The 14,281-nt window shown below is 39.8% G+C and overlaps 1 protein-coding gene across 28 annotated transcripts in view, besides 1 other annotated feature; it reads left to right on the top strand.

Annotated features, from left to right (window-relative positions):
• BNC2 (basonuclin zinc finger protein 2) overlaps nucleotides 1–14,281 on the top strand; it is a 461,168-nt gene that overhangs the window by 67,866 nt on the left and 379,021 nt on the right. The gene's annotated exons all lie outside the window — the stretch shown is intronic.
• Nucleotides 6,468–6,969: an enhancer, noted in NCBI's record as "NANOG hESC enhancer chr9:16795834-16796335 (GRCh37/hg19 assembly coordinates)". NCBI's record gives its function as "activates a minimal SCP1, AML or CMV promoter by ChIP-STARR-seq in primed H9 embryonic stem cells {active_cell/tissue: H9 hESC(primed)}" and the evidence as "EXISTENCE:reporter gene assay evidence [ECO:0000049][PMID:30033119]".

Here is a 14,281-nt window from a genome sequence, read left to right as displayed (position 1 = left end):
GAACATTCTCTGGTCCCAGCAGAATCTCTAGGTCTGAAAATGCTTCACATGTGGAGCACATAGAACCCACCATGATCTCAGTCTTGGAATTTCAAATAGTGTGTTCTTACAAAAACCCTTCGGTCCTTGTCTATGGGCTTGAAAAGTGTCTTGCTAGAGATGGACAAAGAATGGGAGAGATGAGTAATGTGAAGCAAGTTGTCTCTACTCTAGGAGTTGTCTCTCTTGTATAAACATAAGACCTGAAGCTTCTGTTGCTGAAGCAAGACCAATGCACATTTGCCTTGCAGGAAGGGCTTTAGATCTCTGTGTCACAAACAATCAAGAAATCATTTCTTGCTGTACAAATGTAGCAGCTTATTGTAGCACCAGTGAATGGGCACGGGAGTGAAGGATATTGCTAATTGTACTGAGCCTGGCTGCATTGCAAGTGTCAGATGATTTGATAGGACTGACATGCAGCTAAATGGAATAGGAAAAGACACTGCAGTGGACTGTTGGTCCATTAGTTTGCTCGGGCATCTTGTTTTACTAAGGAGCCCTCTAATGGTTTCTCGGCAATAATTACTATCTCTCTTCTTCATGCTATTCAACATGACAGGCACTTGCTGAAGTCGCAGCTAATATATTTGCACTCTTAACTGGCCCCAATGCCGCGTATCCTTGAGCATGTTTGGCTAAGAAATGAATGATAGCTATGTTTTTTTCTTTGAGAAAATGTTTCTAATGTGGAAGACAGTCGTTTTATTTTGGATACGAAGCAGGCGTGTGGCATAACATGAGTGCTTGTGAAAAAAATTGATGCATTAGCTGTGGACTGCCCCATTGCATGTCTCCTGTATACTAGTTGATGATACTGAAACGGGAAAAACTTTTATGGGCTGTTTTACTTATATAATGATAACTTCAGACTTGAGCCAGAACCACAGAGAAGGAGAAGTTTACATAGAAATGAACCTTCACACAGCTGTTTTGAAGCTATACAGTAAGGGATTATCCCTTTGTTTCAATTAATTAACTTACAGTTGAGAGGCAGTTTTATTTTTTCTGTGTGTGTGTGTTTTTTTTTTTTTAATTTAAGGGGGTGTCTTAGAATAAAATATTTCAGCTTCTTTTGGCATGGCTTTCTCACTCCTTTGTAAAGTATGGTCAGTTTTGCTTATAGCTGTATTGCTTTTTAAAAGTAACTTGAAACTTCTAGGTTAAGTACTTGAGGTTTAGTTGAATGAGCTTGTTTGCTAAAGTACAGCATTTAAAGGTGAGGAATGGGGCTGGCCACGGTGGCTCACGCCTGTAATCCCAGCACTTTGGGAGGCTGAGGTGGGTAGATCACGAGGTCACGAGTTCAAGACCAGCCTGGCCAAGATGGTGAAACCCCATCTCTACTAAGAAAAAAAAAAATAGAAAAATTAACCGGGCACGTCCCAGCTACTCGGCAGGCTGAAACAGGAGAATCACTTGAACCCAGGGGGCAGAGGTTGCAGTGAGCAATATCACGCCACTGTACTCCAGCCTGGGTGACAGAGTGAGACTCTGTCTCAAAATAAATAAAAATAAAGGTGATGAATGTATTATCAATAGTACTATCATTATTATTTTTGCTAAAGTCTTTGGGAGATTTGAAGGTCACAAAAAGACTTACATGTGAAAAAGGAGGAAGAAATCAGAAATACGGAGAATTGTGTAGGGGATATACTTTGGATTTTGAAGTCTTGTTTAGAAGTGTATATACTTGTGGGGCAATAATTACAATCATTTTGGGTTCTTTTTTCATCTAGTCAGGTTGAAGATGTCTATTTTGTGTAATCTTTCTTTTGGGAGGAATGAAAAAACATTAGCAACAACTTAATTTTTGGTTATTATTTTTCCCTTTTGCTTCTAAAACACGTAGTTGCCTGATAGAATAGCTTCCCTTTTTTTTCTACATCAGAAAGGAGAGAAAGACAACTATCTTAGAAACATATTTAAAGCACATGATGAAAAAGAAGAGGTTTTTAAAAACTGTTGAAAATACATTTTCTTTGTACCAGGTACCAGATGTTGATGTTGGCAGTGCCTCAGAGGGTCACAGGGCATTTAAAATCACTAGGCTGTAGGGAGTAAAATTCCAGATCTCTTGCACTGAAAATTATTTAAAAATTATCTTTACTTAGCGATAAGTAGTACAAGAGTACTTTTTCTATGAATTCCTCTTAAATAGGTACCTTAGAAATACATGATCAATGAAATTGCCAGAAAAAAAAAAGAGTTCCAGTGCCTCTTCGCATTACAAAAGTAGTGCTTTTACTGGTTAAGTAACTGGTTGCATTTAAGTCTCTATTTTTTTTGATATGAAAAGAATATCCCCTCAACTTTATTAGACAGGATTTGCCTTACTTTTGAGCTATCCATTTCAAATTAGAGAGGACAGACGCTGTGCTCCTTGGTTATATACTATGCAAAAAGACATGTATATGGTACTTAGATAGTATTTCGTTTCTTCTAGAAGTGTAATTTTGAGAAGGAAATAAGACTGTTTTTCCATCCACCTGCCATCCCATGCCACCCCTTTCTACATAGTTTCTTTTCTTTTTTTTTTTTGAGATGGAGTCTTGCTTTGTCACCCAGGCTGGCGTGCAGTGGTGCAATCTCGGCTCACTGCAATGTCTGCCTCCCAAGCTCAAGTGATTCTCCTGCCTTAGCCTCCCGAGTAGCTGGGACTACAGGCGCCTGCTACCATGCCTGGCTAATTTTTGTATTTTTAGTAGAGATGGGGTTTCCCCATGTTGTCCAGGCTGGTCTCGAACTCCTGATCTCAGGTGATCTGCCCACCTGTGCCTGTCAAAGTGCTGGGATTACAGGCATGAGCCACCGCGCCCGGCCTCTACATAGTTTCTTCTCTGTGTGAGCCAAAGTTCCTTTTGTCACTGATAAGATAATTAGGGTTAATAGTTTCAGTGCAAAAATAGGATTTTGGAAGGTAAAAAAGTTCTGAAAAAACAAAATCTGACAAGGTTACCGCTTATATTCACTATAGATTATTGTTTCTTCTGGTTTTGTGGGTGTTCCAGTAGAAGGACTTGGGTGATTACCTTACTGGGCTTTTCCAGAGGATTTTCATGCATTTTTTATGTAGTTAGCATCAAGATTTTACTGGGGAAATTTGAGTTAGTTCTGTAAATACAATGGGATTAATTTTTTTTTGGGCTATTTTGCCCTTCTTGTTATTGCCTGAAGAAAGTAAATGCTTTCTGATGCCAAGGTGGGCAGATTACTTGAGGTCAGGAGTTCGAGACCAGCCTGGCCAACATAGTGAAACCCTGTCTCTACTAAAAATACAAAAATTAGCCAGGTGTTGTGGCAGGTGCTGGTAATCCCAGCTACTTGGGAGGCTGAGGCAGGAGAATGGCTTGAATCTGGGAGGTGGAGGTTGCAGTGAGCTGAGGTCCTGCCACTGCACTCCAGTTTGGGTGAGAGAGTGAGACTCCATATCAAAAATAAATAAATAAATAAAATAGAAAGTAAATACTTTCTGCAGAAAAGGAAACAATGTTTTTCAGGAAAAAAAATGACTGGAAGGAAATAGGTCAATATTATCAGTTGTTGCCTCTGGAGTTATGACTAATTTCTGCTTCTTTATACTTTGTTACATTTTTTATATTTTCTACAGCTAGAGTGTATTACTTGTAGAATCGGAAAAAAAAAGGAAAATAATGTGCATTATAACTGATTTTGACATGCCTAAGGAGACAAGCACTGGCCATTCAAATTGCAGATCCCAGAACCTTGGTTCTGAGCCATAAAAACTACAGGCTTGTTGATGTTTGTATGACTCTCAGAGCCCCCTGACATTTGGATAGATAGAAAGTGGTGTATTTAGCTGTGGGCCACCTTCCCATGGGGTTTGCTGGTGACCAAAGTCAGCAATTGTGTTTACAGCTTAAGTGGCAGAAAGGGCTCACCATTGTTGCCATTACTTGTGCGTGATTGTTTACCTTCTGCTCTCTGTGGGCATATGTTTATTATATTTATATTGCCCATTCAGTGTAGTTGTGCAATGGAAATGGACTTACAGGGTGGTGGGGAGCATAGGGGAATAATTTCAGTATTTCCTCTATAATTTCTACGTAGTTTAGTGGAGAATGAAAAATTTACCTGCCTGCTGTCTGAATGGCACTTGGTAAAGTCCTTAATGTAGTTTTGAATGTTAATTCTGGTTGGAGGAACTCCTTTAAATCATAAGATACTACCATACTTGAAAAAATTACTTAGAAGTCTAGTGTTTGGAGTCAAGAGACTGCTTTGTCACTTTGATCTTAGGGTTAGTACTTTTAACCTCTGAACTTTGTCATACTTGTCTGCAAAATGGGGATACAAATAATATTTTCCTTTAGGGTAGTTGTGGGGATATGTGAAAATCTTTTGTAAATCCATATATATTTAATTTATTGACTAAGCTAATCTTGCCAAATTACCTAAATTAGAATGGTGGTGATTTGGATAAAGTCCCTGAGTTCACAGCCTAGAGCCAAATTGCATTTGTCCATTCTACTTGGAAGGTGGGACATCAAAGATATATGGTTTTAATCTTATTTTTGTGAGAGGCTGTGCCTATTCGAATCTGCATAGCTTCCATTAAAAAACTTGAAAATAGTTCATTTTCTCTTCCTAATTACTTGGCAGAAATTTAGAATAGAAAGACAGAAGCTAGTAACAACCAACTTTTCCTTCACACTTCCAGATCAACAAAAGGGATTCTTGGGTCCTAGAGACCAAAGAAAGAATCAGCAGGAATGCCCAGGGTGAACTGATGGATTGCAGAGCCTAGCTGGTAATTACTTTCACTGAGCTAAAACATTAACTTAATACATGGGATCAGAGCCAGATGAAAATCAGAATTTGGATCTCTTCCTTTCCTGTGGATATCCCATACTTTCCTTCTGAAGGCAGTCTTCTCTTGGTGGGATAGGCCTGCTTCCTTTCCTAGGACATGGCATAAATTTTCATGCCACACTGGTAGACTGGAGTTGTATCATTTGTTGCCCTGGGCAACTTTTGGTGGGGATATGTGACTACTTAGGTCTGCTGGTTTCTAGGGTGGCAAGAAACCCCAGTTTCTTTTAAGACTTTTCAGCTGGATACCAGATATTGACAGACTCAATCTCATCTTGGTGTTCAAATTTTAAGTTGCCAAACTTTAGCTTTTGGACTTGTGTGACACTCTTACTAGATGCATACCTAGCCTCCAGCTAGGTGATATTGTGTCATCCTTAAGAGGCCAACGAGGTTTCATTTTAAAAGCTAGCTCATGTTGATTGTTAGTAACTTCCTAGTGTGTTGTGCTGTGAAAGATGGTGAAGTCATAATGAGATTCACTGGCATGATTGTTTAGTGATGTGTGTTTGCCATGGATTGGGAGGGGCATATATGTATTTTCAGAGGGATGTCAAATCTATAGTACAGAGGAGCTCATTTAATCTACAGTGCCCCCAACCTCATCCTTTCCATTGTATAGTGGAGAAGTTGGGTATCTAGAAAGATGAAGCTATTTCCAGCTTATTAGAGCCAAGTGTGGACTTGAACTCAAGTTTTCTGAGTTCAACTTGCTTGTTACTTTTTGGGGATAATAGTAGTAGCTACCTTATGGGATTTAGAGAAGGTTAAGTAAAAAAAAATCTATATTAAGCTTTAGGAATAGTGACAGACACTGAGAAAGATATAGTAAATGAAAGCTGCCATTATTGTCATCATCATCATTTTTACTTTTATCATTCCTGTTGCACTTTATTACTACCAACACCATATTTTGTGAGGTAGTCAGGTAGCTACCTTAACAAAAGCTACCTCTTGTTTTGTGCCATATCGTAGAAGCCCCACTTTTGCTAACAGACTGAAGCAAGTGTTCAACTTGCGACAATTTAAGGAAAATTTGACAGTATTTGACCTTGTACAGAGACCCACAAAAGGCATTAGTTGAAGATAAATAAATGGTAGTTAGCAATCCTAATTTGAATTTTTGTACACTTGTGTGTGTGTTTATAGATAATGTTTCCCATTTATAAAGATTTGTCAAATACGATTCTACTCAAGTACATTCTCTTGAAACAGCAGGAATTCTATGGAATAAGGATTTCTTTCTTTCTTTCTTTTCTCTTCTTTTCTTTCTTTTTTTTTCTCTTTCCTTTCCTTTCCCTTTCCCTTCCCTTTCCCTTTCCCTTCCCTTCCCTTCCTTTCCTTTTCTTTCTTTTTTTTTTGAGACGGAGTCTCACTCTGTCACCCAGGCTGGAGTGCATTGACGTGATCTCGGCTTACTGCAAGCTCCGCCTCCTGGGTTCACACCATTCTCCTGCCTTTCATGATTTCTTATTAAGCAGTCTCCTATACTTCCTTGCTTCCTGAGACTTCTTCATTAAATATGTACTATTTCAAATGTTTTAAATTTCCTAGTCCTGTCAGCACAGGGCTTTAAGTTAGAAGACATCAGTTATGAAATCTATCAGGGTGTAGTTATTTAAAGGACTAGACTTTTGTGAAATTTTTAATTATATGGGATTATACTTATGCTATATTAATTGAAAAGAAATGGATGTAAAACTATATAAAGTACTTACGAAAGAAGCCAAGTTAATTGTGCCTTGGTTAGATAGTGAATGGTTAATGCCATTTTGTGTCATACTGGCTTTGTCTCTGTTTTATGTACCTGCTGTCTCACTAACAGTGTTGCTTAGTAGAAGGAGTGTGGGCTTTGAAGTGAGATGGGTTTGGGGCTTCACTCCATTGTCTTCATTTAAGAGCTTTGAGACTGCGTAAATTGTCTCTCTGAGCCTTAGTTCTGGTTAGACTTGGATGCTCTCTCCTTTGCAAGGTTTCTTTATCCTGAAAGTGGCTTGCTCTTGGAGGTGCTTAGTAAATGTTAGCTCTTTTTCTCTTCCTAACCATGACCTTTACCTCCCATCCTCTTTCCCTGGCATTCTGCAAGGATTAGTTCAGGGATTAAAGCAACTTGGAAACGTTTTAGTTTCATACTGTCATTTTTAGTGGTTTGCCTTTTAAATCATCTCTTTACTGTAAAAGTCTTGGTTCCTATAAATCTCACACCCTTGGGAACCAAACTCATGACAATCATGAAGTGTCTTACTTCAAAGGATAAGAAAACCAAGCAAACCAAAATCATGATATCCTCTCTGGAGCAGTGTGTGTGAGCCTGGGATCAGCCTGGGAATGTTGGTTAATGGTGTCACCATCCTCCTCTCGCTGGCAGTGATGTGGAGGGTGTGGAGAGGACATGGGCTGAGCTAGGGTTTATAATTGCATGGCCGTCTGGCCTTCCTTGAGCATTCTTTCCCTTCCAGGATTCCTGTAATTGTCATCAGATGGCTCAGTCTCCCAATGTTTCCGGTATTGCAATGACTTCTGGAGTGTGTTTAAAAAAAAAAAAAAAAGCCAGAATTAGCAGTTAGCAGTCATCATTTGTTTGTGTCAGTTCTGTTGTGTGTAGAGGCGTGCAGATTGGGCGTCTCTGGACTGTAGAAAGACCGGTCACATGTGGAGTTCGCCTTACTATCTTGTGTTGAACCTTCCTACTTCCTTTGCTTATTCTTTTCCGCCTACACTGCTTTAAAGGACTCCCTGAAAAAAAAAGTGAGAAAAGATGCAGGCAGTGTTCCTGTTTTCAACTCTAGTCAGCCTTCTTTTTATTCTCATTGTTCTGGAAACTTGAGAGGATTGCATCTTTCTTGGATCTGCTAAAGGCCTAGGGAGGTTGAGAGTTGGACTGGATAGTGAGTGAACCCTGTGAAGAATGATTCCAAGTCTTGGGCTGTTCGTGGGCATGGAGGAGGAGAGAGTATTTGTATTTTCCTTTATCATGAACTTATCACTAAAGGCCCAAATATAGGAATATATCTTGCATGGGTTTTTTTTTTCCCCCATCAGATAAGCTGTTGTAATTTGAGCCTGACACTTCTTCTTGAGGAAGGGGAAAATTGTGTAAATGAAAAAGGACAGCTAATTTTTTGAAAAACAAATCTGGAGTGATTGAGAGGTCTAAACCCCCAAAAGTGTAAAATTGAAGAGAACTAATATGGTTAATTTTGCTTCATGGTGTTAGCTGAGGAATTGTGTTTTTTAAAAGCCCTTTGATTTACTGGCTCTTACTCACCTAATGGGTAAAGTATTATAGTTCATTGCATTCTGGTGCCTTTGTTTGTCTAATGGTGGAGTGTTTTTCTTAAGTTACAGGGACCCAGGCCTAGATGATGATAATGACTATAGTGCATCTTTACAAAAAACAGCCCTTTTACAGTTGTCATACGGATCTTTTAGAATAATTGAGGTGAATTTTAATGCCAACCCTGTTAATGATGTCTATCCCACCTCTCTCTTCCCAGGTGGCTGGGGGTGGCGGTTGGAAACAGGAGAGCCTTGGTCTTAATGAACAGACAGGAGATATCTCAAGATTAATGTGAAAAAAGCTCAGTCATGATAATTGCATTCCCCTCGGCAGTGATTGGTTTACGAGCAGTCATGTGATTAAGTTCTGACCAATACTTTGTAAGAGGAAGTCTGCTGGGGGACGGTAGTGAGAGTTTCCCATCTGGAATAAAAAACACATCACTGCTTGAAATGTGGCTGAGATGCTTACAGAGGAGATGGACCTTCTTGGCCAGCCTGAGGACAATACCTTGCAGTGAGAAAGGCAGAGCCATGTCACTGATACCCAGCACTGGGTGCTACCTCTCACTTGTTTTATAACCTATAACTAAGTCACACAATCCAATGTATATCATTTAAATAATTTTCTGTTTCAAGATGTGAAAGGCAAGGCCCGGCGCGGTGGCTCACGCCTGTAATCCCAGCACTTTGGGAGGCCGAGATGGGAGGATCACGAGGTCAGGAGATCGAGACCATCCTGGCTAACACGGTGAAACTCCGTCTCTACTAAAAAAAAAAAAAAACAAAAAAACAAAAACCACAAAAAACAAAAACTAGCTGGGCATGGTGGCGGGCACCTGCAGTCCCAGTCCCAGCTACTCGGGAGGCTGAGGCAGGAGAATGGCGTGAACCCGGGAGGCGGAGCTTGCAATGAGCCCAGATCACGCCACTGCACTCAAGCCTGGGGGACAGAGTGAGACTCCCTCTCAAAAAAAAAAAAAAAAAAAAAAAAAAAAAAAAAAAGATGTGGAAGGCAAGTACCCCTTTGGGTGGGATCGAAATCTAGAATTGGCCAGGCATAGTGGCACCCACCTGTAATCCCAGCCACTTGGGAGGCTGCAGCAGGAGAATCCCTTGAGGCCAGCCTGGGTAATGATGTAGTGAGACCCTGTCAAAAAAAATAAAAAGGACAAAAGAAAACTAGAATTGATCCTTCCCAAAGAAAATGTTCACTGGCTTGTTAAGTCATATCCTAACCATGTCATTTTCACCACTGGCAGAACCTTGATGAAAGGTGTGATGGGGTAAATACATTCGTGTTTGGTTTGTATGGTTTATATTAATTTAATTTGTTTCTGCTGTTTATAGTTGGATTTTCTTTGCTTAGGTAACTGATTTCGGCTTTGGATTGTTATGATTGATAATAAGAGAAAAAAGAATGTAAAGTGTTGAGAAATAGTCTAAAAAAACATTGTATTGTTGGAGCAGTTATTCAGTTTTCACAGTATTCCTTTGGGCAATTGGATTTGTTTTGGTGTCTGACTTTGTTGACAATCCTGTTGTTATATTAAAGCTGTTTCTTGCAGTATGTTTTCCCTTTTAGTTAAGAAAACTCACTTTATTTCCTAAGATGAATTATAATTAGGACTATTTGGTATTGAGAATCTTTTCTCACTTAATACCCCTAATGAGATACAAATGTTCTAAATGTATCCTTATGAGTAGATTATATTTAGAGAGGAATCCACTTATTTTAGTTAACTAATCCCTTTGCTTTTGTATCATACATCCTTATTAGGCTCCCACGTTCCTATTCCATATGGAATTCCTTGTGAAATCAGACCTCAGCAAACAATGTTATTAACTTTCAGGGTCAGTGTTACTGAAAATGTCAATGAAGTTTGTTGGTTTTACATACCTTGTTTTTATAGCACTCTAGCTTTTTTATACGCTTATGATAAATACGAATTCTTTCCCTCTTCTTGCAAAGTAAACTTTATTTCTTAGTTGGTTCCCCCCGCTGGTATTTATGCTTCTACTCACTAGAATTGAAGGAATTGAATGTATTTGAACTATTCTTTTGGCCCCTTCTGCAGACTGGGAATGGTCTTTCTAGCTTCTCAGATCTCTGCATATTGTGCATCCTTGTTCTTTTGCCAGAAACCTGAAAATTTCCCAGCAGAACTAACTGGCAATGATCTTTGAATTATATGAATCAGGTTTGCCTGGCTTCTAGGAGTCAATATTATACCCTTCTCAATGACTGTATCCTTCTTTCTGAGGAAAGCAGATAAGTTAGTGATGAAGTTTTGAAGAACTTCACTTACGGAGTTACACTTCCTGAGTTCAAATCCTGACTTCACTGCTTACAGGTTGCATGCTTTTGGACAAGTTATTTGACTTCTTTATGCTTTGGTATTCTGAATGGGGGTTATAATGCAACTGATCACGTAGGTTGTCATGAGGATTGTAAGTGAAAATTTGTAAAATGTTCTTAAAATAGTTCCTGGTGCATACTGAGTGTATAGTTGGTATGATGGTATCTAGTTGATTTTTTTTTTTTTTTTGGAGGGTCAAGGTCTTGTTCTATCACCCAGGCTGGAGTACAGTGGCATGATCTTGGCTCCTTGCAACTTCCGTCTCCTGGGCTAAAGGGATCCCTCCACCTTCACCTCCCAAGTAGTTGGGACCACAGGCACGAGCAACCACACCTGGCTAATTTTTGTATTTTGATAGAGATGGAGTTTTGCCATGCTGCCCAGGCTGGTCTCTAACTTCTGGGCTTAAGTGATCCACCTGCCTTGGCTTCCCAAAGTGATGGGGTTACAGGTGTGAGCCGCCGTGCCTGGCCTCTAGTTGAATTTTTAAAAGTACTTTTTAATCTATTTTCTCTTTTGGTCCTCACGCCACCCTGTGAAGAGGTAGTAGTATTACTTATTTTATAGGGCAAGTCATAGAAACACAGTGTCAGTATGTGACTTTGTTACTAGTAACAGTGTTCGAATTATAATCTAGATTTCTCCTCTCATCTGTTATAGTTGACTGTGAATGGGGTCTTTAGGAAGTTGCTGTGATTCTGTGATGTTATCAGTCAGAAGGTGTAATGGGAAGGGCATCAATCTCTGTTTCTTAAATTTGGCCCAGTGGTGAGCCAGTTCATTCTAAAATAATTTGTATTTGCTAAATGCAGATATTTCTCACTTTGCATGATTTTAATATACACAATTTTCAGTTGCCATGGTTAACTAAATAATACTAGTCCCTCAACACAGTCCAAGTTTCAGTTATCATGTTACATTAACTATAATTGTGGCCGGGCGCGGTGGCTCATGCCTGTAATCCTAGCACTTTGGGAGGCCGAGGCAGGCGGATCACGATGTCAGGAGATCGAGACCATCCTGGCTAACATGGTGAAACCCCGTCTCTACTAAAAATACAAAAAATTAGCCAGGCATGGTGGCGGGTGCCTGTAGTCCCAGCTACTCGGGAGGCTGAGGCAGGAGAATGGTGTGAACCCGGGAGGCGGAGCTTACAGTGAGCCGAGATCATGCCACTGCACTCTAGCCTGGGCGACAGTGTGAGACTCCATCTCAAAAGAAAAAAAAAAATCTATAATTGTATAAAATCCCATACACTAGCACTTCCTGTTATTTTGTTCATCAGCGGACAGCAAAGCATGTAGTCGTGTTGCCTTCTTGTCTCCCAGTGATAGACCCATGTAGCATTTCATAAAAATGGATAATTAAAGGGGAGAATTGTCAAAGATCAAAGTGCATCAAATAAATGAAGTGTTAAAATTGGATTAAAATTTTAGCTAATTGTAAACAGCATTCTTAAAAAAAAAAAAAAAAAAAGCTTACCAAGGGAATGTCAACTCAGCCAGTGTTCTAGAGGCTCTATATATTTAGCTAGGAGCACTTAGTGAAAGATAACTAACTTATCAAAGTCAGTTATGAAGTGGTTGTGATGAAAAGGATGAAGATGTAACAGAGGAAAGATGCTGGCAAAAAAAATCATATGAGAGGAACTCTCACAGATATTGTATAACTGTGAAAACACAAAGGATAAAATGTTGGAAGCAAGTCTGAACTTAGAAGGAAGTATACCTATCTACCAAGGCATGGAAAAGATGCTTGTTTAGAATTGTAAATTAGCAACGAGAATAAGGCATTCCCATTGAAACTACTATTGACACAGTTTTTTATAAATAAATAAAACAATTCTCAGAGTTTCTGATGTTTTAGAGTACTAAATAAATATACTTTTCATTTTCCTACACATTTATAGCTGATAGACAGTTTTTACTGTTTTGACAAAAAAATTAAAGGTCATAGAACAATCATAATATTTCTGTTGATTATTAAAATCATTTCATGGCCAGGCACTGTGGCTCACGCCTATAATCCCAGCACTTTGGGAGGCCGAGGCGGGCGGATCACGAGGTCAGTAGATCCAGACCATCCTGGCTAACATGGTGAAACCCTGTCTCTACTAAAAATAAAAAAAAATTAGCCAGGCATGGTGGCGGGCACCTGTAGTCCCAGCTACTTGGGAGGCTGAGGTAGAATTGCATAAACCTGGGAGGCGGAGCTTGCAGTGAGCCGAGATCGCGCCACTGCACTCCAGCCTAGGCGACAGAGCGAGACTCCATCTCAAAAAAAAATCATTTCACATGATTTCAGCGCGCATGATCACTTTTGTGGTATTGCATTATCATGCAAAATGAGGACTACCTGTATTTATTGAGCCAAGTAGGCACTCTTGTAAGTGATGAGGGTATACCAACAAAGTGGACAGGCCAAACCTGCCTTTAAGAAACATTTATTCCAATAAAGGCTTATTGAGTGTCTGCAGTGTGCCAGGCAGCATGTACACATGTGAATGAATAGTAGTTCGTTTCTCAGAGAATTTGGATCTTAGTTGACTGGTGAGAGACAAGACCATTATACTATAACATATGCCTATAACATGTATAATACATTTCTGTGAATGAAATAATAATGAAACACCAGGCATTGTAAGAGCCAAGAGGACACCTATCAAACACATAGCCTGAGTGTATGAGAGGTGGGAGAAGCAGGGAGACATGCCTGGAGGACTTAGGAATTAATCTGGAAAAGCTGCGTTGAAGAAGGGTACAGTGGTGAGATGCTTCTGCATGGAAAGCACAGGACATTTTAAAAAGTTGAGTGTTGTTGAAGTGTGTAGGGTAAGATATGGGCCAGATCAGGAACGCCATGGAACTTGTAGGCAATGGGGAGGGTCTATAGGGTTTTCCCCTAGTTTCTTTTAAATTAAGGTATAATTTATACACAGTAAAATGGACCCATTTTATTGTATTGTTTGGTGTGTTTGATATAAGTGCCATGGCCACCGTGACAATCAAGACGAAGAACATTTATATTACTCCCTAAAATCCCCCAGTGCTCCTGAGTGACTAACTCCTCCCACCCCCAGTCCCTAGCAACCACTGATGTTTTCTGCCCCTATAGTTTTGTGTTTCTCAAAATATCATGTAAATGGACTCATGCAGTATGTAGTGCTTTAATTCTGTCTCTTTCCTTTAGCATAATACTTCTGAGATTGATCCATGTTGTTGCATGTAAGAACCTTTGGGTTTTAAGCAGAATTATCTGTGAGATTTGGTTGGAGGATGGATTTGAGAGGAGCAAGACTAGAGACTTTGATTGTATTACAATTTAACCAGGTGCTAATGGAGTAGAGGGAATAGAGATGCCAAGGAGGAGCTTGGTTTGAGGTAGGAGGTGGAATTCGTTTCAACTAAGGTGGGGAATCTAGAAGGAAAAACAGGTGGGAAAGAGGAGGCCCTGCATATTGGACATGTTGAGGCTGAGGAGTGTGGGATTGTCCTGCAAGTCAACCTTGGCAGGGTGTGAGGCATATGAAGGAGTTGATTTCTCTCCTTCCTTATCCTCTGATCTTTGCCAGGATCAAATTTGCTAGGCACTGATCTTGTTAATTAAAGGGCTCCCTTTTCTCTTTATCCTACCATATCACCACCAAGAATTTGCTCCCAAGGCCTTGCCTTGGACTGTAGACTGTCATTGAATCAACTTGTCATGTTTAAAAGGAATGACCTCTTTTTTTTTTTTTTTTTTGAGAAGGAGTGTTGCTCTGTCGCCCAGGG

Source organism: Homo sapiens, chromosome 9 (genome assembly GCF_000001405.40).
Source record: "Homo sapiens chromosome 9, GRCh38.p14 Primary Assembly".
NCBI lineage: Eukaryota > Metazoa > Chordata > Mammalia > Primates > Hominidae > Homo > Homo sapiens.
The sequence above is the reverse complement of the archived record's forward strand: the minus strand, read 5'-3'. Positions and strand labels throughout refer to the sequence as shown.